Source organism: Homo sapiens, chromosome X, assembly GCF_000001405.40.
Source record: "Homo sapiens chromosome X, GRCh38.p14 Primary Assembly".
Lineage (NCBI taxonomy): Eukaryota > Metazoa > Chordata > Mammalia > Primates > Hominidae > Homo > Homo sapiens.
This window is the reverse complement of record NC_000023.11, coordinates 115,854,962-115,878,921: the sequence shown is the minus strand read 5'-3', so window position 1 is coordinate 115,878,921 and position 23,960 is coordinate 115,854,962. Positions and strand designations below refer to the sequence as shown.

General features: G+C 62.2%; 2 long non-coding RNA genes across 3 annotated transcripts in view, besides 1 other annotated feature; one reads left to right on the top strand and one right to left on the bottom strand.

Annotated features, from left to right (window-relative positions):
* DANT2 (DXZ4 associated non-coding transcript 2, distal) overlaps window positions 1-23,960 on the top strand; it is a 128,716-nt gene that overhangs the window by 90,190 nt on the left and 14,566 nt on the right. The window lies entirely within an intron of this gene.
* Window positions 1-23,960, bottom strand: part of DANT1 (DXZ4 associated non-coding transcript 1, proximal) — a 64,564-nt gene that overhangs the window by 26,606 nt on the left and 13,998 nt on the right. The window lies entirely within an intron of this gene.
* Window positions 11,295-11,925: an enhancer, noted in NCBI's record as "H3K27ac-H3K4me1 hESC enhancer chrX:114983330-114983960 (GRCh37/hg19 assembly coordinates)". NCBI's record gives its function as "activates a minimal SCP1, AML or CMV promoter by ChIP-STARR-seq in primed H9 embryonic stem cells {active_cell/tissue: H9 hESC(primed)}" and the evidence as "EXISTENCE:reporter gene assay evidence [ECO:0000049][PMID:30033119]".

Genomic DNA, 23,960 nt, shown 5'->3' with positions numbered 1-23,960 from the left:
TGGGGCCCACTTCCTCTCCTGCTCTCTCTGTCTCAACGTGATTGACTTTCTTGTGCTGCCCAGGACTTCTTGCCCACGTGCGCCTTCAAAACGGTAAGAGCTGCAACTGAACGTGTGAGACATGGTGCAGATAGGCTGAGAGGCGGCGGGAGAGATGCCCATGAACTCAAGTACCCGGACACGCCCTCCACTTCTACCACCACGAGTAACACCGCCCCCACGGGACCGCTCTCGAGGTCCCCCAAGCCAAGGTGAGGCAAGTCCCAGTTGAATGTCATCCCGTTCCTCTTGGGCACGGCGGACCGCTCTCGCCCTTAAAGGTGCGTTGACGTGGAAGGTGAATGTCTCTTTGCGTGACAGTGCCTCAGCGCACGGGCGACGAGGGGCACACCTATCCCCCTGGCTCGCTCTCTAGCTGGATTCAGGTGGAACGGAGGACCATGAACCCTCTGGACCTTTTCTGCCTTGGTCCTATGCTTGTAAGGTTTCCGGCCTAAGAGGCCCATCGACTCCTTCTGCCTTCTTTCAGTTGATTACAAAATAAATAAATAAATAAATAAATAAATAAATAAAAAAGCAGGACATTAAACCTGCCACCTCCAGAGGGTCCTCTAGCTTCCTTCTCCACTCCTGGATTGAGCGAAGCGGTGCCGACCTCCACCCTTTGGGCACGAGCCCCTGTGCACTTGGGAGACTCCTGAACACCCTCGGAGAAGCCAGAAAGCCCCGGGAGATGGCTCCGTCTGCTGCTGTACCAGACCGGGTCCTGCAAAGGATGCATCCTCCGAGCCTCCTCCCTGCACGTCCAGTGGGGCCTGCCCCGATTCTACCTGAGGGACCCACTGGAGGAGAGGCACGGGGATGCTGCCTGAGCAGCGGACCCTTCTGGCGCGGAGCAGGCTGTCCCCAGGCAGAGTCCGACGGGTCCTTCCTTCTGGGTGCCCCCGGCTTCCCGGACTCCAGCAGGCCTGGGAAGGCCCCGGGCCCCCTTAGCCGATGCCCAGAGAGTCTCCATTTCTCAAGCTTTGCCACCGAACTCATCGGTCGGTGCGCCTCTGATCGCAGGGCAAGGGCCTGCGCACCCCCAAAGACAAGCGGGGTCCCCGGAAGGCCCCCAGGCAGAAATGAGCACCACGGGGAACGGCCCGCCTCCAAGACAACCTCGGGGACATGGACACAACAAGACAGGGTGGCAAGTCTCAACAAGGCGGGTGCGCGGCGTCTAAGGGTGGCCTGGCCGGGCCGGGCCGGGCCGGGCCGGGCCTGGCCTTGCGTCCACCTCGTCAAGAACCGTCTGGGTACGGGCCCCGCGGGATGCCCCGCGGCCCACCTTCCTCCCTAGGACGCAAGGAGGAACGCCCCGGCGCCGGCCAGCAGCGGCGGGCACCGGCGCCAATGGCCACGGAACTCAGCACTGGCAGTCGGCCCTCCTCACGCCGCAGGCGTGCAGTGTGGCCGACGGAGCCTCCCGGGCCGAGGACCCAGCTAGGCCGTCACCCCGGTTGCTCCCACGGGAAGGGGCACCAGGCAAACTGCCCAAGGCCCCGAGCCCAGGCTCCCTGGCGGAGGCCTCCGCTGGTCCCGCCCAGATCATGGCCGCCACCAGGCTCCCGAGCCATGGCTTCCTGTCCGGGAACGGCCCGGCGTCCTGGCTGTCCAGCTAGTCCTGGCGCCTCTCTCTGGGGCTTCCACCGCCCGACCCCGCGGCGGAGCCTGCTTCTCTCGGACCTCCAGAGACCTCGGATCCGTCCGAGCACCTGCCCTAGTCCTGCCTGGTCCCCCAGGACAGTCCCAAGCCACTCCTCCCCAGGCGAGCACAGCGAAGGGTGCGCGGGATTGCCAAGCCAGTTCCTCTTGATGGCAGTATTGCTCCAGAAATGCCCACCTGCCCTTCCCCCACGTCCACTCCCTCCGCCCTTTGCTGAGGAAAAAACGCCAACAGCGCCCCGCACATGGCGGATCAGCATCTCGGCCGCTTTGGGCCAGCCCTGGCCCACCTGCGGGACCCTGTCCTTGGCAGATGGGACTCGGCGGGACCCTTCTTACTAGCCTGCCTTCCTGACAAACCAGAAAGCGGTCCCCTTGGACCGCCCTGGGGATGGACCCGACCTAACCGCATCCCTAACGATGCGTTAGGATGGGAGGATGGTGGAACCCGCAGGGACGAGAAGGAGACTGGGCACACACGAGGATCCCAGCCCCGGCCCTGCCCCCCGGGACACATTGGCACTTGGGCATTCTCACGGGTCACGGCAAGGCCAGCTTGACCAAGAGGTCAAAGGCGACTGGCGTCCCACTGACCGCTGGGGGTTTGGCCTCAAACTTCAGGTGAACCCACAATTCCGGAATAGCGGGACCGGCACCCGGGCCCTTCTCACGTGGCAGCACCGGCAAGGGGCTGGGGGAAGAGCCCACGCCAGCCTACGTCACGCAGGAAGGGAGCCAGTGGCCACCCCAAACACACCTCTCCTCCTCACACCTGGCCTACGTCCAACTCTCCACGGCTCTGCCCAGAAGGCTGCACGTACAACACACACAGAGGCGGGCATTTCCCTGACGACTCGTGTGTGCCGTGGGGGAGCGGTAGATGGCCCAGCCCCAAGTGTTCCGATCTTCCTGCCCAAACATATTCTGTGACGGAAAGCCTATGTTGACCTCGTCCGGCACTCAAGGCGTGGGCAGCGGCCTAACGTCTGCTGCGGGAACACAGTCGCGTTGAATGCTATTCTCAAGACAGACAAAACAGTGGGAAGACACTACGCCAAGCTGCTAACTCCCTGGCCATTGCCGGACTCTTTCACCCCCATGGACTTTCCGCTGGCATTTTAAACAACATAGTTTCTTTTCTCTATCTCTTTCTCTTTCTCTCTCTCTTTCTCTTTCTCTCTCTCTCTCTCTCTCTCTCTCAATCTCATAATTTCTCTCTCTCGTGCCACGTTCCCACCCAACGCTCTCTCGCCCACTTCTACTGGGGCCCACTTCCTCTCCTGCTCTCTCTGTCTCAACGTGATTGACTTTCTTGTGCTGCCCAGGACTTCTTGCCCACGTGCGCCTTCAAAACGGTAAGAGCTGCAACTGAACGTGTGAGACATGGTGCAGATAGGCTGAGAGGCGGCGGGAGAGATGCCCATGAACTCAAGTACCCGGACACGCCCTCCACTTCTACCACCACGAGTAACACCGCCCCCACGGGACCGCTCTCGAGGTCCCCCAAGCCAAGGTGAGGCAAGTCCCAGTTGAATGTCATCCCGTTCCTCTTGGGCACGGCGGACCGCTCTCGCCCTTAAAGGTGCGTTGACGTGGAAGGTGAATGTCTCTTTGCGTGACAGTGCCTCAGCGCACGGGCGACGAGGGGCACACCTATCCCCCTGGCTCGCTCTCTAGCTGGATTCAGGTGGAACGGAGGACCATGAACCCTCTGGACCTTTTCTGCCTTGGTCCTATGCTTGTAAGGTTTCCGGCCTAAGAGGCCCATCGACTCCTTCTGCCTTCTTTCAGTTGATTACAAAATAAATAAATAAATAAATAAATAAATAAATAAAAAAGCAGGACATTAAACCTGCCACCTCCAGAGGGTCCTCTAGCTTCCTTCTCCACTCCTGGATTGAGCGAAGCGGTGCCGACCTCCACCCTTTGGGCACGAGCCCCTGTGCACTTGGGAGACTCCTGAACACCCTCGGAGAAGCCAGAAAGCCCCGGGAGATGGCTCCGTCTGCTGCTGTACCAGACCGGGTCCTGCAAAGGATGCATCCTCCGAGCCTCCTCCCTGCACGTCCAGTGGGGCCTGCCCCGATTCTACCTGAGGGACCCACTGGAGGAGAGGCACGGGGATGCTGCCTGAGCAGCGGACCCTTCTGGCGCGGAGCAGGCTGTCCCCAGGCAGAGTCCGACGGGTCCTTCCTTCTGGGTGCCCCCGGCTTCCCGGACTCCAGCAGGCCTGGGAAGGCCCCGGGCCCCCTTAGCCGATGCCCAGAGAGTCTCCATTTCTCAAGCTTTGCCACCGAACTCATCGGTCGGTGCGCCTCTGATCGCAGGGCAAGGGCCTGCGCACCCCCAAAGACAAGCGGGGTCCCCGGAAGGCCCCCAGGCAGAAATGAGCACCACGGGGAACGGCCCGCCTCCAAGACAACCTCGGGGACATGGACACAACAAGACAGGGTGGCAAGTCTCAACAAGGCGGGTGCGCGGCGTCTAAGGGTGGCCTGGCCGGGCCGGGCCGGGCCGGGCCGGGCCTGGCCTTGCGTCCACCTCGTCAAGAACCGTCTGGGTACGGGCCCCGCGGGATGCCCCGCGGCCCACCTTCCTCCCTAGGACGCAAGGAGGAACGCCCCGGCGCCGGCCAGCAGCGGCGGGCACCGGCGCCAATGGCCACGGAACTCAGCACTGGCAGTCGGCCCTCCTCACGCCGCAGGCGTGCAGTGTGGCCGACGGAGCCTCCCGGGCCGAGGACCCAGCTAGGCCGTCACCCCGGTTGCTCCCACGGGAAGGGGCACCAGGCAAACTGCCCAAGGCCCCGAGCCCAGGCTCCCTGGCGGAGGCCTCCGCTGGTCCCGCCCAGATCATGGCCGCCACCAGGCTCCCGAGCCATGGCTTCCTGTCCGGGAACGGCCCGGCGTCCTGGCTGTCCAGCTAGTCCTGGCGCCTCTCTCTGGGGCTTCCACCGCCCGACCCCGCGGCGGAGCCTGCTTCTCTCGGACCTCCAGAGACCTCGGATCCGTCCGAGCACCTGCCCTAGTCCTGCCTGGTCCCCCAGGACAGTCCCAAGCCACTCCTCCCCAGGCGAGCACAGCGAAGGGTGCGCGGGATTGCCAAGCCAGTTCCTCTTGATGGCAGTATTGCTCCAGAAATGCCCACCTGCCCTTCCCCCACGTCCACTCCCTCCGCCCTTTGCTGAGGAAAAAACGCCAACAGCGCCCCGCACATGGCGGATCAGCATCTCGGCCGCTTTGGGCCAGCCCTGGCCCACCTGCGGGACCCTGTCCTTGGCAGATGGGACTCGGCGGGACCCTTCTTACTAGCCTGCCTTCCTGACAAACCAGAAAGCGGTCCCCTTGGACCGCCCTGGGGATGGACCCGACCTAACCGCATCCCTAACGATGCGTTAGGATGGGAGGATGGTGGAACCCGCAGGGACGAGAAGGAGACTGGGCACACACGAGGATCCCAGCCCCGGCCCTGCCCCCCGGGACACATTGGCACTTGGGCATTCTCACGGGTCACGGCAAGGCCAGCTTGACCAAGAGGTCAAAGGCGACTGGCGTCCCACTGACCGCTGGGGGTTTGGCCTCAAACTTCAGGTGAACCCACAATTCCGGAATAGCGGGACCGGCACCCGGGCCCTTCTCACGTGGCAGCACCGGCAAGGGGCTGGGGGAAGAGCCCACGCCAGCCTACGTCACGCAGGAAGGGAGCCAGTGGCCACCCCAAACACACCTCTCCTCCTCACACCTGGCCTACGTCCAACTCTCCACGGCTCTGCCCAGAAGGCTGCACGTACAACACACACAGAGGCGGGCATTTCCCTGACGACTCGTGTGTGCCGTGGGGGAGCGGAAGATGGCCCAGCCCCAAGTGTTCCGATCTTCCTGCCCAAACATATTCTGTGACGGAAAGCCTATGTTGACCTCGTCCGGCACTCAAGGCGTGGGCAGCGGCCTAACGTCTGCTGCGGGAACACAGTCGCGTTGAATGCTATTCTCAAGACAGACAAAACAGTGGGAAGACACTACGCCAAGCTGCTAACTCCCTGGCCATTGCCGGACTCTTTCACCCCCATGGACTTTCCGCTGGCATTTTAAACAACATAGTTTCTTTTCTCTGTCTCTTTCTCTTTCTCTCTCTCTTTCTCTTTCTCTCTCTCTCTCTCTCTCTCTCTCTCTCTCTCTCAATCTCATAATTTCTCTCTCTCGTGCCACGTTCCCACCCAACGCTCTCTCGCCCACTTCTACTGGGGCCCACTTCCTCTCCTGCTCTCTCTGTCTCAACGTGATTGACTTTCTTGTGCTGCCCAGGACTTCTTGCCCACGTGCGCCTTCAAAACGGTAAGAGCTGCAACTGAACGTGTGAGACATGGTGCAGATAGGCTGAGAGGCGGCGGGAGAGATGCCCATGAACTCAAGTACCCGGACACGCCCTCCACTTCTACCACCACGAGTAACACCGCCCCCACGGGACCGCTCTCGAGGTCCCCCAAGCCAAGGTGAGGCAAGTCCCAGTTGAATGTCATCCCGTTCCTCTTGGGCACGGCGGACCGCTCTCGCCCTTAAAGGTGCGTTGACGTGGAAGGTGAATGTCTCTTTGCGTGACAGTGCCTCAGCGCACGGGCGACGAGGGGCACACCTATCCCCCTGGCTCGCTCTCTAGCTGGATTCAGGTGGAACGGAGGACCATGAACCCTCTGGCCCTTTTCTGCCTTGGTCCTATGCTTGTAAGGTTTCCGGCCTAAGAGGCCCATCGACTCCTTCTGCCTTCTTTCAGTTGATTACAAAATAAATAAATAAATAAATAAATAAATAAATAAATAAATAAAAAAGCAGGACATTAAACCTGCCACCTCCAGAGGGTCCTCTAGCTTCCTTCTCCACTCCTGGATTGAGCGAAGCGGTGCCGACCTCCACCCTTTGGGCACGAGCCCCTGTGCACTTGGGAGACTCCTGAACACCCTCGGAGAAGCCAGAAAGCCCCGGGAGATGGCTCCGTCTGCTGCTGTACCAGACCGGGTCCTGCAAAGGATGCATCCTCCGAGCCTCCTCCCTGCACGTCCAGTGGGGCCTGCCCCGATTCTACCTGAGGGACCCACTGGAGGAGAGGCACGGGGATGCTGCCTGAGCAGCGGACCCTTCTGGCGCGGAGCAGGCTGTCCCCAGGCAGAGTCCGACGGGTCCTTCCTTCTGGGTGCCCCCGGCTTCCCGGACTCCAGCAGGCCTGGGAAGGCCCCGGGCCCCCTTAGCCGATGCCCAGAGAGTCTCCATTTCTCAAGCTTTGCCACCGAACTCATCGGTCGGTGCGCCTCTGATCGCAGGGCAAGGGCCTGCGCACCCCCAAAGACAAGCGGGGTCCCCGGAAGGCCCCCAGGCAGAAATGAGCACCACGGGGAACGGCCCGCCTCCAAGACAACCTCGGGGACATGGACACAACAAGACAGGGTGGCAAGTCTCAACAAGGCGGGTGCGCGGCGTCTAAGGGTGGCCTGGCCGGGCCGGGCCGGGCCGGGCCGGGCCTGGCCTTGCGTCCACCTCGTCAAGAACCGTCTGGGTACGGGCCCCGCGGGATGCCCCGCGGCCCACCTTCCTCCCTAGGACGCAAGGAGGAACGCCCCGGCGCCGGCCAGCAGCGGCGGGCACCGGCGCCAATGGCCACGGAACTCAGCACTGGCAGTCGGCCCTCCTCACGCCGCAGGCGTGCAGTGTGGCCGACGGAGCCTCCCGGGCCGAGGACCCAGCTAGGCCGTCACCCCGGTTGCTCCCACGGGAAGGGGCACCAGGCAAACTGCCCAAGGCCCCGAGCCCAGGCTCCCTGGCGGAGGCCTCCGCTGGTCCCGCCCAGATCATGGCCGCCACCAGGCTCCCGAGCCATGGCTTCCTGTCCGGGAACGGCCCGGCGTCCTGGCTGTCCAGCTAGTCCTGGCGCCTCTCTCTGGGGCTTCCACCGCCCGACCCCGCGGCGGAGCCTGCTTCTCTCGGACCTCCAGAGACCTCGGATCCGTCCGAGCACCTGCCCTAGTCCTGCCTGGTCCCCCAGGACAGTCCCAAGCCACTCCTCCCCAGGCGAGCACAGCGAAGGGTGCGCGGGATTGCCAAGCCAGTTCCTCTTGATGGCAGTATTGCTCCAGAAATGCCCACCTGCCCTTCCCCCACGTCCACTCCCTCCGCCCTTTGCTGAGGAAAAAACGCCAACAGCGCCCCGCACATGGCGGATCAGCATCTCGGCCGCTTTGGGCCAGCCCTGGCCCACCTGCGGGACCCTGTCCTTGGCAGATGGGACTCGGCGGGACCCTTCTTACTAGCCTGCCTTCCTGACAAACCAGAAAGCGGTCCCCTTGGACCGCCCTGGGGATGGACCCGACCTAACCGCATCCCTAACGATGCGTTAGGATGGGAGGATGGTGGAACCCGCAGGGACGAGAAGGAGACTGGGCACACACGAGGATCCCAGCCCCGGCCCTGCCCCCCGGGACACATTGGCACTTGGGCATTCTCACGGGTCACGGCAAGGCCAGCTTGACCAAGAGGTCAAAGGCGACTGGCGTCCCACTGACCGCTGGGGGTTTGGCCTCAAACTTCAGGTGAACCCACAATTCCGGAATAGCGGGACCGGCACCCGGGCCCTTCTCACGTGGCAGCACCGGCAAGGGGCTGGGGGAAGAGCCCACGCCAGCCTACGTCACGCAGGAAGGGAGCCAGTGGCCACCCCAAACACACCTCTCCTCCTCACACCTGGCCTACGTCCAACTCTCCACGGCTCTGCCCAGAAGGCTGCACGTACAACACACACAGAGGCGGGCATTTCCCTGACGACTCGTGTGTGCCGTGGGGGAGCGGTAGATGGCCCAGCCCCAAGTGTTCCGATCTTCCTGCCCAAACATATTCTGTGACGGAAAGCCTATGTTGACCTCGTCCGGCACTCAAGGCGTGGGCAGCGGCCTAACGTCTGCTGCGGGAACACAGTCGCGTTGAATGCTATTCTCAAGACAGACAAAACAGTGGGAAGACACTACGCCAAGCTGCTAACTCCCTGGCCATTGCCGGACTCTTTCACCCCCATGGACTTTCCGCTGGCATTTTAAACAACATAGTTTCTTTTCTCTGTCTCTTTCTCTTTCTCTCTCTCTTTCTCTTTCTCTCTCTCTCTCTCTCTCTCTCTCTCTCTCAATCTCATAATTTCTCTCTCTCGTGCCACGTTCCCACCCAACGCTCTCTCGCCCACTTCTACTGGGGCCCACTTCCTCTCCTGCTCTCTCTGTCTCAACGTGATTGACTTTCTTGTGCTGCCCAGGACTTCTTGCCCACGTGCGCCTTCAAAACGGTAAGAGCTGCAACTGAACGTGTGAGACATGGTGCAGATAGGCTGAGAGGCGGCGGGAGAGATGCCCATGAACTCAAGTACCCGGACACGCCCTCCACTTCTACCACCACGAGTAACACCGCCCCCACGGGACCGCTCTCGAGGTCCCCCAAGCCAAGGTGAGGCAAGTCCCAGTTGAATGTCATCCCGTTCCTCTTGGGCACGGCGGACCGCTCTCGCCCTTAAAGGTGCGTTGACGTGGAAGGTGAATGTCTCTTTGCGTGACAGTGCCTCAGCGCACGGGCGACGAGGGGCACACCTATCCCCCTGGCTCGCTCTCTAGCTGGATTCAGGTGGAACGGAGGACCATGAACCCTCTGGCCCTTTTCTGCCTTGGTCCTATGCTTGTAAGGTTTCCGGCCTAAGAGGCCCATCGACTCCTTCTGCCTTCTTTCAGTTGATTACAAAATAAATAAATAAATAAATAAATAAATAAATAAATAAAAAAGCAGGACATTAAACCTGCCACCTCCAGAGGGTCCTCTAGCTTCCTTCTCCACTCCTGGATTGAGCGAAGCGGTGCCGACCTCCACCCTTTGGGCACGAGCCCCTGTGCACTTGGGAGACTCCTGAACACCCTCGGAGAAGCCAGAAAGCCCCGGGAGATGGCTCCGTCTGCTGCTGTACCAGACCGGGTCCTGCAAAGGATGCATCCTCCGAGCCTCCTCCCTGCACGTCCAGTGGGGCCTGCCCCGATTCTACCTGAGGGACCCACTGGAGGAGAGGCACGGGGATGCTGCCTGAGCAGCGGACCCTTCTGGCGCGGAGCAGGCTGTCCCCAGGCAGAGTCCGACGGGTCCTTCCTTCTGGGTGCCCCCGGCTTCCCGGACTCCAGCAGGCCTGGGAAGGCCCCGGGCCCCCTTAGCCGATGCCCAGAGAGTCTCCATTTCTCAAGCTTTGCCACCGAACTCATCGGTCGGTGCGCCTCTGATCGCAGGGCAAGGGCCTGCGCACCCCCAAAGACAAGCGGGGTCCCCGGAAGGCCCCCAGGCAGAAATGAGCACCACGGGGAACGGCCCGCCTCCAAGACAACCTCGGGGACATGGACACAACAAGACAGGGTGGCAAGTCTCAACAAGGCGGGTGCGCGGCGTCTAAGGGTGGCCTGGCCGGGCCGGGCCGGGCCGGGCCGGGCCTGGCCTTGCGTCCACCTCGTCAAGAACCGTCTGGGTACGGGCCCCGCGGGATGCCCCGCGGCCCACCTTCCTCCCTAGGACGCAAGGAGGAACGCCCCGGCGCCGGCCAGCAGCGGCGGGCACCGGCGCCAATGGCCACGGAACTCAGCACTGGCAGTCGGCCCTCCTCACGCCGCAGGCGTGCAGTGTGGCCGACGGAGCCTCCCGGGCCGAGGACCCAGCTAGGCCGTCACCCCGGTTGCTCCCACGGGAAGGGGCACCAGGCAAACTGCCCAAGGCCCCGAGCCCAGGCTCCCTGGCGGAGGCCTCCGCTGGTCCCGCCCAGATCATGGCCGCCACCAGGCTCCCGAGCCATGGCTTCCTGTCCGGGAACGGCCCGGCGTCCTGGCTGTCCAGCTAGTCCTGGCGCCTCTCTCTGGGGCTTCCACCGCCCGACCCCGCGGCGGAGCCTGCTTCTCTCGGACCTCCAGAGACCTCGGATCCGTCCGAGCACCTGCCCTAGTCCTGCCTGGTCCCCCAGGACAGTCCCAAGCCACTCCTCCCCAGGCGAGCACAGCGAAGGGTGCGCGGGATTGCCAAGCCAGTTCCTCTTGATGGCAGTATTGCTCCAGAAATGCCCACCTGCCCTTCCCCCACGTCCACTCCCTCCGCCCTTTGCTGAGGAAAAAACGCCAACAGCGCCCCGCACATGGCGGATCAGCATCTCGGCCGCTTTGGGCCAGCCCTGGCCCACCTGCGGGACCCTGTCCTTGGCAGATGGGACTCGGCGGGACCCTTCTTACTAGCCTGCCTTCCTGACAAACCAGAAAGCGGTCCCCTTGGACCGCCCTGGGGATGGACCCGACCTAACCGCATCCCTAACGATGCGTTAGGATGGGAGGATGGTGGAACCCGCAGGGACGAGAAGGAGACTGGGCACACACGAGGATCCCAGCCCCGGCCCTGCCCCCCGGGACACATTGGCACTTGGGCATTCTCACGGGTCACGGCAAGGCCAGCTTGACCAAGAGGTCAAAGGCGACTGGCGTCCCACTGACCGCTGGGGGTTTGGCCTCAAACTTCAGGTGAACCCACAATTCCGGAATAGCGGGACCGGCACCCGGGCCCTTCTCACGTGGCAGCACCGGCAAGGGGCTGGGGGAAGAGCCCACGCCAGCCTACGTCACGCAGGAAGGGAGCCAGTGGCCACCCCAAACACACCTCTCCTCCTCACACCTGGCCTACGTCCAACTCTCCACGGCTCTGCCCAGAAGGCTGCACGTACAACACACACAGAGGCGGGCATTTCCCTGACGACTCGTGTGTGCCGTGGGGGAGCGGTAGATGGCCCAGCCCCAAGTGTTCCGATCTTCCTGCCCAAACATATTCTGTGACGGAAAGCCTATGTTGACCTCGTCCGGCACTCAAGGCGTGGGCAGCGGCCTAACGTCTGCTGCGGGAACACAGTCGCGTTGAATGCTATTCTCAAGACAGACAAAACAGTGGGAAGACACTACGCCAAGCTGCTAACTCCCTGGCCATTGCCGGACTCTTTCACCCCCATGGACTTTCCGCTGGCATTTTAAACAACATAGTTTCTTTTCTCTGTCTCTTTCTCTTTCTCTCTCTCTTTCTCTTTCTCTCTCTCTCTCTCTCTCTCTCTCTCTCTCTCTCTCTCTCAATCTCATAATTTCTCTCTCTCGTGCCACGTTCCCACCCAACGCTCTCTCGCCCACTTCTACTGGGGCCCACTTCCTCTCCTGCTCTCTCTGTCTCAACGTGATTGACTTTCTTGTGCTGCCCAGGACTTCTTGCCCACGTGCGCCTTCAAAACGGTAAGAGCTGCAACTGAACGTGTGAGACATGGTGCAGATAGGCTGAGAGGCGGCGGGAGAGATGCCCATGAACTCAAGTACCCGGACACGCCCTCCACTTCTACCACCACGAGTAACACCGCCCCCACGGGACCGCTCTCGAGGTCCCCCAAGCCAAGGTGAGGCAAGTCCCAGTTGAATGTCATCCCGTTCCTCTTGGGCACGGCGGACCGCTCTCGCCCTTAAAGGTGCGTTGACGTGGAAGGTGAATGTCTCTTTGCGTGACAGTGCCTCAGCGCACGGGCGACGAGGGGCACACCTATCCCCCTGGCTCGCTCTCTAGCTGGATTCAGGTGGAACGGAGGACCATGAACCCTCTGGACCTTTTCTGCCTTGGTCCTATGCTTGTAAGGTTTCCGGCCTAAGAGGCCCATCGACTCCTTCTGCCTTCTTTCAGTTGATTACAAAATAAATAAATAAATAAATAAATAAATAAATAAAAAAGCAGGACATTAAACCTGCCACCTCCAGAGGGTCCTCTAGCTTCCTTCTCCACTCCTGGATTGAGCGAAGCGGTGCCGACCTCCACCCTTTGGGCACGAGCCCCTGTGCACTTGGGAGACTCCTGAACACCCTCGGAGAAGCCAGAAAGCCCCGGGAGATGGCTCCGTCTGCTGCTGTACCAGACCGGGTCCTGCAAAGGATGCATCCTCCGAGCCTCCTCCCTGCACGTCCAGTGGGGCCTGCCCCGATTCTACCTGAGGGACCCACTGGAGGAGAGGCACGGGGATGCTGCCTGAGCAGCGGACCCTTCTGGCGCGGAGCAGGCTGTCCCCAGGCAGAGTCCGACGGGTCCTTCCTTCTGGGTGCCCCCGGCTTCCCGGACTCCAGCAGGCCTGGGAAGGCCCCGGGCCCCCTTAGCCGATGCCCAGAGAGTCTCCATTTCTCAAGCTTTGCCACCGAACTCATCGGTCGGTGCGCCTCTGATCGCAGGGCAAGGGCCTGCGCACCCCCAAAGACAAGCGGGGTCCCCGGAAGGCCCCCAGGCAGAAATGAGCACCACGGGGAACGGCCCGCCTCCAAGACAACCTCGGGGACATGGACACAACAAGACAGGGTGGCAAGTCTCAACAAGGCGGGTGCGCGGCGTCTAAGGGTGGCCTGGCCGGGCCGGGCCGGGCCGGGCCGGGCCTGGCCTTGCGTCCACCTCGTCAAGAACCGTCTGGGTACGGGCCCCGCGGGATGCCCCGCGGCCCACCTTCCTCCCTAGGACGCAAGGAGGAACGCCCCGGCGCCGGCCAGCAGCGGCGGGCACCGGCGCCAATGGCCACGGAACTCAGCACTGGCAGTCGGCCCTCCTCACGCCGCAGGCGTGCAGTGTGGCCGACGGAGCCTCCCGGGCCGAGGACCCAGCTAGGCCGTCACCCCGGTTGCTCCCACGGGAAGGGGCACCAGGCAAACTGCCCAAGGCCCCGAGCCCAGGCTCCCTGGCGGAGGCCTCCGCTGGTCCCGCCCAGATCATGGCCGCCACCAGGCTCCCGAGCCATGGCTTCCTGTCCGGGAACGGCCCGGCGTCCTGGCTGTCCAGCTAGTCCTGGCGCCTCTCTCTGGGGCTTCCACCGCCCGACCCCGCGGCGGAGCCTGCTTCTCTCGGACCTCCAGAGACCTCGGATCCGTCCGAGCACCTGCCCTAGTCCTGCCTGGTCCCCCAGGACAGTCCCAAGCCACTCCTCCCCAGGCGAGCACAGCGAAGGGTGCGCGGGATTGCCAAGCCAGTTCCTCTTGATGGCAGTATTGCTCCAGAAATGCCCACCTGCCCTTCCCCCACGTCCACTCCCTCCGCCCTTTGCTGAGGAAAAAACGCCAACAGCGCCCCGCACATGGCGGATCAGCATCTCGGCCGCTTTGGGCCAGCCCTGGCCCACCTGCGGGACCCTGTCCTTGGCAGATGGGACTCGGCGGGACCCTTCTTACTAGCCTGCCTTCCTGACAAACCAGAAAGCGGTCCCCTTGGACCGCCCTGGGGATGGACCCGACCTAACCGCATCCCTAACGATGCGTTAGGATGGGAGGATGGTGGAACCCGCAGGGACGAGAAGGAGACTGGGCACACACGAGGATCCCAGCCCCGGCCCTGCCCCCCGGGACACATTGGCACTTGGGCATTCTCACGGGTCACGGCAAGGCCAGCTTGACCAAGAGGTCAAAGGCGACTGGCGTCCCACTGACCGCTGGGGGTTTGGCCTCAAACTTCAGGTGAACCCACAATTCCGGAATAGCGGGACCGGCACCCGGGCCCTTCTCACGTGGCAGCACCGGCAAGGGGCTGGGGGAAGAGCCCACGCCAGCCTACGTCACGCAGGAAGGGAGCCAGTGGCCACCCCAAACACACCTCTCCTCCTCACACCTGGCCTACGTCCAACTCTCCACGGCTCTGCCCAGAAGGCTGCACGTACAACACACACAGAGGCGGGCATTTCCCTGACGACTCGTGTGTGCCGTGGGGGAGCGGTAGATGGCCCAGCCCCAAGTGTTCCGATCTTCCTGCCCAAACATATTCTGTGACGGAAAGCCTATGTTGACCTCGTCCGGCACTCAAGGCGTGGGCAGCGGCCTAACGTCTGCTGCGGGAACACAGTCGCGTTGAATGCTATTCTCAAGACAGACAAAACAGTGGGAAGACACTACGCCAAGCTGCTAACTCCCTGGCCATTGCCGGACTCTTTCACCCCCATGGACTTTCCGCTGGCATTTTAAACAACATAGTTTCTTTTCTCTGTCTCTTTCTCTTTCTCTCTCTCTTTCTCTTTCTCTCTCTCTCTCTCTCTCTCTCTCTCTCTCAATCTCATAATTTCTCTCTCTCGTGCCACGTTCCCACCCAACGCTCTCTCGCCCACTTCTACTGGGGCCCACTTCCTCTCCTGCTCTCTCTGTCTCAACGTGATTGACTTTCTTGTGCTGCCCAGGACTTCTTGCCCACGTGCGCCTTCAAAACGGTAAGAGCTGCAACTGAACGTGTGAGACATGGTGCAGATAGGCTGAGAGGCGGCGGGAGAGATGCCCATGAACTCAAGTACCCGGACACGCCCTCCACTTCTACCACCACGAGTAACACCGCCCCCACGGGACTGCTCTCGAGGTCCCCCAAGCCAAGGTGAGGCAAGTCCCAGTTGAATGTCATCCCGTTCCTCTTGGGCACGGCGGACCGCTCTCGCCCTTAAAGGTGCGTTGACGTGGAAGGTGAATGTCTCTTTGCGTGACAGTGCCTCAGCGCACGGGCGACGAGGGGCACACCTATCCCCCTGGCTCGCTCTCTAGCTGGATTCAGGTGGAACGGAGGACCATGAACCCTCTGGACCTTTTCTGCCTTGGTCCTATGCTTGTAAGGTTTCCGGCCTAAGAGGCCCATCGACTCCTTCTGCCTTCTTTCAGTTGATTACAAAATAAATAAATAAATAAATAAATAAATAAATAAATAAATAAAAAAGCAGGACATTAAACCTGCCACCTCCAGAGGGTCCTCTAGCTTCCTTCTCCACTCCTGGATTGAGCGAAGCGGTGCCGACCTCCACCCTTTGGGCACGAGCCCCTGTGCACTTGGGAGACTCCTGAACACCCTCGGAGAAGCCAGAAAGCCCCGGGAGATGGCTCCGTCTGCTGCTGTACCAGACCGGGTCCTGCAAAGGATGCATCCTCCGAGCCTCCTCCCTGCACGTCCAGTGGGGCCTGCCCCGATTCTACCTGAGGGACCCACTGGAGGAGAGGCACGGGGATGCTGCCTGAGCAGCGGACCCTTCTGGCGCGGAGCAGGCTGTCCCCAGGCAGAGTCCGACGGGTCCTTCCTTCTGGGTGCCCCCGGCTTCCCGGACTCCAGCAGGCCTGGGAAGGCCCCGGGCCCCCTTAGCCGATGCCCAGAGAGTCTCCATTTCTCAAGCTTTGCCACCGAACTCATCGGTCGGTGCGCCTCTGATCGCAGGGCAAGGGCCTGCGCACCCCCAAAGACAAGCGGGGTCCCCGGAAGGCCCCCAGGCAGAAATGAGCACCACGGGGAACGGCCCGCCTCCAAGACAACCTCGGGGACATGGACACAACAAGACAGGGTGGCAAGTCTCAACAAGGCGGGTGCGCGGCGTCTAAGGGTGGCCTGGCCGGGCCGGGCCGGGCCGGGCCGGGCCTGGCCTTGCGTCCACCTCGTCAAGAACCGTCTGGGTACGGGCCCCGCGGGATGCCCCGCGGCCCACCTTCCTCCCTAGGACGCAAGGAGGAACGCCCCGGCGCCGGCCAGCAGCGGCGGGCACCGGCGCCAATGGCCACGGAACTCAGCACTGGCAGTCGGCCCTCCTCACGCCGCAGGCGTGCAGTGTGGCCGACGGAGCCTCCCGGGCCGAGGACCCAGCTAGGCCGTCACCCCGGTTGCTCCCACGGGAAGGGGCACCAGGCAAACTGCCCAAGGCCCCGAGCCCAGGCTCCCTGGCGGAGGCCTCCGCTGGTCCCGCCCAGATCATGGCCGCCACCAGGCTCCCGAGCCATGGCTTCCTGTCCGGGAACGGCCCGGCGTCCTGGCTGTCCAGCTAGTCCTGGCGCCTCTCTCTGGGGCTTCCACCGCCCGACCCCGCGGCGGAGCCTGCTTCTCTCGGACCTCCAGAGACCTCGGATCCGTCCGAGCACCTGCCCTAGTCCTGCCTGGTCCCCCAGGACAGTCCCAAGCCACTCCTCCCCAGGCGAGCACAGCGAAGGGTGCGCGGGATTGCCAAGCCAGTTCCTCTTGATGGCAGTATTGCTCCAGAAATGCCCACCTGCCCTTCCCCCACGTCCACTCCCTCCGCCCTTTGCTGAGGAAAAAACGCCAACAGCGCCCCGCACATGGCGGATCAGCATCTCGGCCGCTTTGGGCCAGCCCTGGCCCACCTGCGGGACCCTGTCCTTGGCAGATGGGACTCGGCGGGACCCTTCTTACTAGCCTGCCTTCCTGACAAACCAGAAAGCGGTCCCCTTGGACCGCCCTGGGGATGGACCCGACCTAACCGCATCCCTAACGATGCGTTAGGATGGGAGGATGGTGGAACCCGCAGGGACGAGAAGGAGACTGGGCACACACGAGGATCCCAGCCCCGGCCCTGCCCCCCGGGACACATTGGCACTTGGGCATTCTCACGGGTCACGGCAAGGCCAGCTTGACCAAGAGGTCAAAGGCGACTGGCGTCCCACTGACCGCTGGGGGTTTGGCCTCAAACTTCAGGTGAACCCACAATTCCGGAATAGCGGGACCGGCACCCGGGCCCTTCTCACGTGGCAGCACCGGCAAGGGGCTGGGGGAAGAGCCCACGCCAGCCTACGTCACGCAGGAAGGGAGCCAGTGGCCACCCCAAACACACCTCTCCTCCTCACACCTGGCCTACGTCCAACTCTCCACGGCTCTGCCCAGAAGGCTGCACGTACAACACACACAGAGGCGGGCATTTCCCTGACGACTCGTGTGTGCCGTGGGGGAGCGGTAGATGGCCCAGCCCCAAGTGTTCCGATCTTCCTGCCCAAACATATTCTGTGACGGAAAGCCTATGTTGACCTCGTCCGGCACTCAAGGCGTGGGCAGCGGCCTAACGTCTGCTGCGGGAACACAGTCGCGTTGAATGCTATTCTCAAGACAGACAAAACAGTGGGAAGACACTACGCCAAGCTGCTAACTCCCTGGCCATTGCCGGACTCTTTCACCCCCATGGACTTTCCGCTGGCATTTTAAACAACATAGTTTCTTTTCTCTGTCTCTTTCTCTTTCTCTCTCTCTTTCTCTTTCTCTCTCTCTCTCTCTCTCTCTCTCTCTCTCTCTCAATCTCATAATTTCTCTCTCTCGTGCCACGTTCCCACCCAACGCTCTCTCGCCCACTTCTACTGGGGCCCACTTCCTCTCCTGCTCTCTCTGTCTCAACGTGATTGACTTTCTTGTGCTGCCCAGGACTTCTTGCCCACGTGCGCCTTCAAAACGGTAAGAGCTGCAACTGAACGTGTGAGACATGGTGCAGATAGGCTGAGAGGCGGCGGGAGAGATGCCCATGAACTCAAGTACCCGGACACGCCCTCCACTTCTACCACCACGAGTAACACCGCCCCCACGGGACCGCTCTCGAGGTCCCCCAAGCCAAGGTGAGGCAAGTCCCAGTTGAATGTCATCCCGTTCCTCTTGGGCACGGCGGACCGCTCTCGCCCTTAAAGGTGCGTTGACGTGGAAGGTGAATGTCTCTTTGCGTGACAGTGCCTCAGCGCACGGGCGACGAGGGGCACACCTATCCCCCTGGCTCGCTCTCTAGCTGGATTCAGGTGGAACGGAGGACCATGAACCCTCTGGCCCTTTTCTGCCTTGGTCCTATGCTTGTAAGGTTTCCGGCCTAAGAGGCCCATCGACTCCTTCTGCCTTCTTTCAGTTGATTACAAAATAAATAAATAAATAAATAAATAAATAAATAAATAAATAAATAAAAAAGCAGGACATTAAACCTGCCACCTCCAGAGGGTCCTCTAGCTTCCTTCTCCACTCCTGGATTGAGCGAAGCGGTGCCGACCTCCACCCTTTGGGCACGAGCCCCTGTGCACTTGGGAGACTCCTGAACACCCTCGGAGAAGCCAGAAAGCCCCGGGAGATGGCTCCGTCTGCTGCTGTACCAGACCGGGTCCTGCAAAGGATGCATCCTCCGAGCCTCCTCCCTGCACGTCCAGTGGGGCCTGCCCCGATTCTACCTGAGGGACCCACTGGAGGAGAGGCACGGGGATGCTGCCTGAGCAGCGGACCCTTCTGGCGCGGAGCAGGCTGTCCCCAGGCAGAGTCCGACGGGTCCTTCCTTCTGGGTGCCCCCGGCTTCCCGGACTCCAGCAGGCCTGGGAAGGCCCCGGGCCCCCTTAGCCGATGCCCAGAGAGTCTCCATTTCTCAAGCTTTGCCACCGAACTCATCGGTCGGTGCGCCTCTGATCGCAGGGCAAGGGCCTGCGCACCCCCAAAGACAAGCGGGGTCCCCGGAAGGCCCCCAGGCAGAAATGAGCACCACGGGGAACGGCCCGCCTCCAAGACAACCTCGGGGACATGGACACAACAAGACAGGGTGGCAAGTCTCAACAAGGCGGGTGCGCGGCGTCTAAGGGTGGCCTGGCCGGGCCGGGCCGGGCCGGGCCGGGCCTGGCCTTGCGTCCACCTCGTCAAGAACCGTCTGGGTACGGGCCCCGCGGGATGCCCCGCGGCCCACCTTCCTCCCTAGGACGCAAGGAGGAACGCCCCGGCGCCGGCCAGCAGCGGCGGGCACCGGCGCCAATGGCCACGGAACTCAGCACTGGCAGTCGGCCCTCCTCACGCCGCAGGCGTGCAGTGTGGCCGACGGAGCCTCCCGGGCCGAGGACCCAGCTAGGCCGTCACCCCGGTTGCTCCCACGGGAAGGGGCACCAGGCAAACTGCCCAAGGCCCCGAGCCCAGGCTCCCTGGCGGAGGCCTCCGCTGGTCCCGCCCAGATCATGGCCGCCACCAGGCTCCCGAGCCATGGCTTCCTGTCCGGGAACGGCCCGGCGTCCTGGCTGTCCAGCTAGTCCTGGCGCCTCTCTCTGGGGCTTCCACCGCCCGACCCCGCGGCGGAGCCTGCTTCTCTCGGACCTCCAGAGACCTCGGATCCGTCCGAGCACCTGCCCTAGTCCTGCCTGGTCCCCCAGGACAGTCCCAAGCCACTCCTCCCCAGGCGAGCACAGCGAAGGGTGCGCGGGATTGCCAAGCCAGTTCCTCTTGATGGCAGTATTGCTCCAGAAATGCCCACCTGCCCTTCCCCCACGTCCACTCCCTCCGCCCTTTGCTGAGGAAAAAACGCCAACAGCGCCCCGCACATGGCGGATCAGCATCTCGGCCGCTTTGGGCCAGCCCTGGCCCACCTGCGGGACCCTGTCCTTGGCAGATGGGACTCGGCGGGACCCTTCTTACTAGCCTGCCTTCCTGACAAACCAGAAAGCGGTCCCCTTGGACCGCCCTGGGGATGGACCCGACCTAACCGCATCCCTAACGATGCGTTAGGATGGGAGGATGGTGGAACCCGCAGGGACGAGAAGGAGACTGGGCACACACGAGGATCCCAGCCCCGGCCCTGCCCCCCGGGACACATTGGCACTTGGGCATTCTCACGGGTCACGGCAAGGCCAGCTTGACCAAGAGGTCAAAGGCGACTGGCGTCCCACTGACCGCTGGGGGTTTGGCCTCAAACTTCAGGTGAACCCACAATTCCGGAATAGCGGGACCGGCACCCGGGCCCTTCTCACGTGGCAGCACCGGCAAGGGGCTGGGGGAAGAGCCCACGCCAGCCTACGTCACGCAGGAAGGGAGCCAGTGGCCACCCCAAACACACCTCTCCTCCTCACACCTGGCCTACGTCCAACTCTCCACGGCTCTGCCCAGAAGGCTGCACGTACAACACACACAGAGGCGGGCATTTCCCTGACGACTCGTGTGTGCCGTGGGGGAGCGGAAGATGGCCCAGCCCCAAGTGTTCCGATCTTCCTGCCCAAACATATTCTGTGACGGAAAGCCTATGTTGACCTCGTCCGGCACTCAAGGCGTGGGCAGCGGCCTAACGTCTGCTGCGGGAACACAGTCGCGTTGAATGCTATTCTCAAGACAGACAAAACAGTGGGAAGACACTACGCCAAGCTGCTAACTCCCTGGCCATTGCCGGACTCTTTCACCCCCATGGACTTTCCGCTGGCATTTTAAACAACATAGTTTCTTTTCTCTGTCTCTTTCTCTTTCTCTCTCTCTTTCTCTTTCTCTCTCTCTCTCTCTCTCTCTCTCTCTCTCTCTCAATCTCATAATTTCTCTCTCTCGTGCCACGTTCCCACCCAACGCTCTCTCGCCCACTTCTACTGGGGCCCACTTCCTCTCCTGCTCTCTCTGTCTCAACGTGATTGACTTTCTTGTGCTGCCCAGGACTTCTTGCCCACGTGCGCCTTCAAAACGGTAAGAGCTGCAACTGAACGTGTGAGACATGGTGCAGATAGGCTGAGAGGCGGCGGGAGAGATGCCCATGAACTCAAGTACCCGGACACGCCCTCCACTTCTACCACCACGAGTAACACCGCCCCCACGGGACCGCTCTCGAGGTCCCCCAAGCCAAGGTGAGGCAAGTCCCAGTTGAATGTCATCCCGTTCCTCTTGGGCACGGCGGACCGCTCTCGCCCTTAAAGGTGCGTTGACGTGGAAGGTGAATGTCTCTTTGCGTGACAGTGCCTCAGCGCACGGGCGACGAGGGGCACACCTATCCCCCTGGCTCGCTCTCTAGCTGGATTCAGGTGGAACGGAGGACCATGAACCCTCTGGACCTTTTCTGCCTTGGTCCTATGCTTGTAAGGTTTCCGGCCTAAGAGGCCCATCGACTCCTTCTGCCTTCTTTCAGTGGATTACAAAATAAATAAATAAATAAATAAATAAATAAATAAATAAATAAATAAAAAAGCAGGACATTAAACCTGCCACCTCCAGAGGGTCCTCTAGCTTCCTTCTCCACTCCTGGATTGAGCGAAGCGGTGCCGACCTCCACCCTTTGGGCACGAGCCCCTGTGCACTTGGGAGACTCCTGAACACCCTCGGAGAAGCCAGAAAGCCCCGGGAGATGGCTCCGTCTGCTGCTGTACCAGACCGGGTCCTGCAAAGGATGCATCCTCCGAGCCTCCTCCCTGCACGTCCAGTGGGGCCTGCCCCGATTCTACCTGAGGGAGCCACTGGAGGAGAGGCACGGGGATGCTGCCTGAGCAGCGGACCCTTCTGGCGCGGAGCAGGCTGTCCCCAGGCAGAGTCCGACGGGTCCTTCCTTCTGGGTGCCCCCGGCTTCCCGGACTCCAGCAGGCCTGGGAAGGCCCCAGGCCCCCTTAGCCGATGCCCAGAGAGTCTCCATTTCTCAAGCTTTGCCACCGAACTCATCGGTCGGTGCGCCTCTGATCGCAGGGCAAGGGCCTGCGCACCCCCAAAGACAAGCGGGGTCCCCGGAAGGCCCCCAGGCAGAAATGAGCACCACGGGGAACGGCCCGCCTCCAAGACAACCTCGGGGACATGGACACAACAAGACAGGGTGGCAAGTCTCAACAAGGCGGGTGCGCGGCGTCTAAGGGTGGCCTGGCCGGGCCGGGCCGGGCCGGGCCGGGCCTGGCCTTGCGTCCACCTCGTCAAGAACCGTCTGGGTACGGGCCCCGCGGGATGCCCCGCGGCCCACCTTCCTCCCTAGGACGCAAGGAGGAACGCCCCGGCGCCGGCCAGCAGCGGCGGGCACCGGCGCCAATGGCCACGGAACTCAGCACTGGCAGTCGGCCCTCCTCACGCCGCAGGCGTGCAGTGTGGCCGACGGAGCCTCCCGGGCCGAGGACCCAGCTAGGCCGTCACCCCGGTTGCTCCCACGGGAAGGGGCACCAGGCAAACTGCCCAAGGCCCCGAGCCCAGGCTCCCTGGCGGAGGCCTCCGCTGGTCCCGCCCAGATCATGGCCGCCACCAGGCTCCCGAGCCATGGCTTCCTGTCCGGGAACGGCCCGGCGTCCTGGCTGTCCAGCTAGTCCTGGCGCCTCTCTCTGGGGCTTCCACCGCCCGACCCCGCGGCGGAGCCTGCTTCTCTCGGACCTCCAGAGACCTCGGATCCGTCCGAGCACCTGCCCTAGTCCTGCCTGGTCCCCCAGGACAGTCCCAAGCCACTCCTCCCCAGGCGAGCACAGCGAAGGGTGCGCGGGATTGCCAAGCCAGTTCCTCTTGATGGCAGTATTGCTCCAGAAATGCCCACCTGCCCTTCCCCCACGTCCACTCCCTCCGCCCTTTGCTGAGGAAAAAACGCCAACAGCGCCCCGCACATGGCGGATCAGCATCTCGGCCGCTTTGGGCCAGCCCTGGCCCACCTGCGGGACCCTGTCCTTGGCAGATGGGACTCGGCGGGACCCTTCTTACTAGCCTGCCTTCCTGACAAACCAGAAAGCGGTCCCCTTGGACCGCCCTGGGGATGGACCCGACCTAACCGCATCCCTAACGATGCGTTAGGATGGGAGGATGGTGGAACCCGCAGGGACGAGAAGGAGACTGGGCACACACGAGGATCCCAGCCCCGGCCCTGCCCCCCGGGACACATTGGCACTTGGGCATTCTCACGGGTCACGGCAAGGCCAGCTTGACCAAGAGGTCAAAGGCGACTGGCGTCCCACTGACCGCTGGGGGTTTGGCCTCAAACTTCAGGTGAACCCACAATTCCGGAATAGCGGGACCGGCACCCGGGCCCTTCTCACGTGGCAGCACCGGCAAGGGGCTGGGGGAAGAGCCCACGCCAGCCTACGTCACGCAGGAAGGGAGCCAGTGGCCACCCCAAACACACCTCTCCTCCTCACACCTGGCCTACGTCCAACTCTCCACGGCTCTGCCCAGAAGGCTGCACGTACAACACACACAGAGGCGGGCATTTCCCTGACGACTCGTGTGTGCCGTGGGGGAGCGGTAGATGGCCCAGCCCCAAGTGTTCCGATCTTCCTGCCCAAACATATTCTGTGACGGAAAGCCTATGTTGACCTCGTCCGGCACTCAAGGCGTGGGCAGCGGCCTAACGTCTGCTGCGGGAACACAGTCGCGTTGAATGCTATTCTCAAGACAGACAAAACAGTGGGAAGACACTACGCCAAGCTGCTAACTCCCTGGCCATTGCCGGACTCTTTCACCCCCATGGACTTTCCGCTGGCATTTTAAACAACATAGTTTCTTTTCTCTGTCTCTTTCTCTTTCTCTCTCTCTTTCTCTTTCTCTCTCTCTCTCTCTCTCTCTCTCTCTCTCAATCTCATAATTTCTCTCTCTCGTGCCACGTTCCCACCCAACGCTCTCTCGCCCACTTCTACTGGGGCCCACTTCCTCTCCTGCTCTCTCTGTCTCAACGTGATTGACTTTCTTGTGCTGCCCAGGACTTCTTGCCCACGTGCGCCTTCAAAACGGTAAGAG